A 1,806-nucleotide genomic window follows, 5' to 3' on the forward strand; every position below is an offset into this window, starting at 1 on the left:
ACGAAGCAAGACTGTGTCTCAAAACAAAACAAAATGACAAAACAAACAAACAAAAACACCTATGATCTTGTTTTGGTTCTAAAAGTTTCAAACTTTACCTTTCCCAGGATGCCTTAGTTTTCTCATTGGTAAATGAGGTAACTGGGTGTTCTGTTCGTTATGTAACTCACAGTTTTAAATTATTAGATCTGATTTTAATGAGCTTGAAAATACAAATCAAGGTATCTAATCTCTTTTGCTCTCAGGTTTTTCAACTATAAAAGAGAATTGTAAGATACCAGTAGTGAGTGTATGCATATAACATCTGGAGCCCTTTTTGGAGAACAATGCTTACGCTCTCCCCAACTCCTGCCCCACCCCTGGCATCTCGGTTCCACCGTAAACTCATTATTAGTTCAGGTGGTTTGAGAGAAGTTGATCAGGTTCTGTCAAGGGAAACACATGACCTGTCCTGAACAATCTGACCAGTGATTAGCCATGGCCATTGTTACAGAAATAGATATTTGACCCAGGCTATACCAATTAATATTCTCTTAAGACTTTTGCTGGACCTAACCAGAAACAAAACTCCCTTTTTCTGAGGTGTAAGCAATGAGAGAAATTTGACTTCAATTTGCCATTGGCCACGTTGCCACTACTTGTAGTGAGAATGAAGGTAAGGTGGGAGCTGAGAGAGAGAGAACATTTCATTTCGAATCCCAGAATTCAAATGCCTAAAGCCTATTTTTTGCTTGTTTGTTTCATGAGCCAATAAATTTTCCTTTTCCTTAAGGTACTAATTTTCCTTGGATTTCTGTCACTAAACACTGAAAATATTGACAGACATATTACCTTAGAAATTTATGAAACGTGGGAGGAGCCAAGATGGCCGAATAGGAACAGCTCCAGTCTACAGCTCCCAGCGTGAGCGACGCAGAAGACGGGTGATTTCTGCATTTCCATCTGAGGTACCAGGTTCATCTCAGTAGGGAGTGCCAGACAGTGGGCACAGGTCAGTGGGTGCGCCCACCGTGCGCGAGCCGAAGCAGGGCGAGGCATTGCCTCACTCCGGAAGCGCAAGGGGTCAGGGAGTTCCCTTTCCGAGTCAAAGAAAGGGGTGACGGACTCACCTGGAAAATCGGGTCACTCCCACCCGAATACTGCGCTTTTCCGACGGGCTTAAAAAACGGCGCAGCGCGAGTTTATATCCCACACCTGGCAGGGAGGGTCCTACGCCCACAGAGTCTCACTGATTGCTAGCACAGCAGTCTGAGATCAGACTGCAAGGCAGCAGCCAGGCTGGGGGAGGGGCGCCCGCCATTGCCCAGGCTTGCTTAGGTAAACAAAGCAGCCGGGAAGCTCGAACTGGGTGGAGCCCACCACAGCTCAAGGAGGCCTGCCTGCCTCTGTAGGCTCCACCTCTGGGGGCAGGGCACAGACAAACAAAAAGACAGCAGTAACCTCTGCAGACTTAAATGTCCCTGTCTGACAGCTTTGAAGAGAGCAGTGGTTGTCCCAGTACGCAGCTGGAGATCTGAGAACGGGCAGACTGCCTCCTCAAGTGGGTACCTGACCCCTGACCCCCGAGCAGCCTAACTGGGAGGCACCCCCAGCAGGGGCACACTGACACCTCGCACGGCAGGGTACTCCAACAGACCTGCACCTGAGGGTCCTGTCTGTTAGAAGGAAAACTAACAAACAGAAAGGACATCCACACCAAAAACCCATCTGTACATCACCATCATCAAAGACCAAAAGTAGATAAAACCACAAAGATGGGGAAAAAACAGAACAGAAAAACTGGAAACTCTAAAAAGCAGAGCGCCT

At 47.3% G+C, this 1,806-nt stretch overlaps 1 annotated feature.

Annotated features, from left to right (window-relative positions):
• Positions 234-1,433: an enhancer, noted in NCBI's record as "CDK7 strongly-dependent group 2 enhancer chr7:76357185-76358384 (GRCh37/hg19 assembly coordinates)". NCBI's record gives its function as "activates an origin of replication core promoter dependent on BRD2, BRD4, P300/CBP, MED14 and CDK7 cofactors, with strong dependence on CDK7, by STARR-seq in HCT116 cells {active_cell/tissue: HCT116}" and the evidence as "EXISTENCE:reporter gene assay evidence [ECO:0000049][PMID:35650434]".

This window comes from Homo sapiens, chromosome 7 (assembly GCF_000001405.40).
Source record: "Homo sapiens chromosome 7, GRCh38.p14 Primary Assembly".
NCBI lineage: Eukaryota > Metazoa > Chordata > Mammalia > Primates > Hominidae > Homo > Homo sapiens.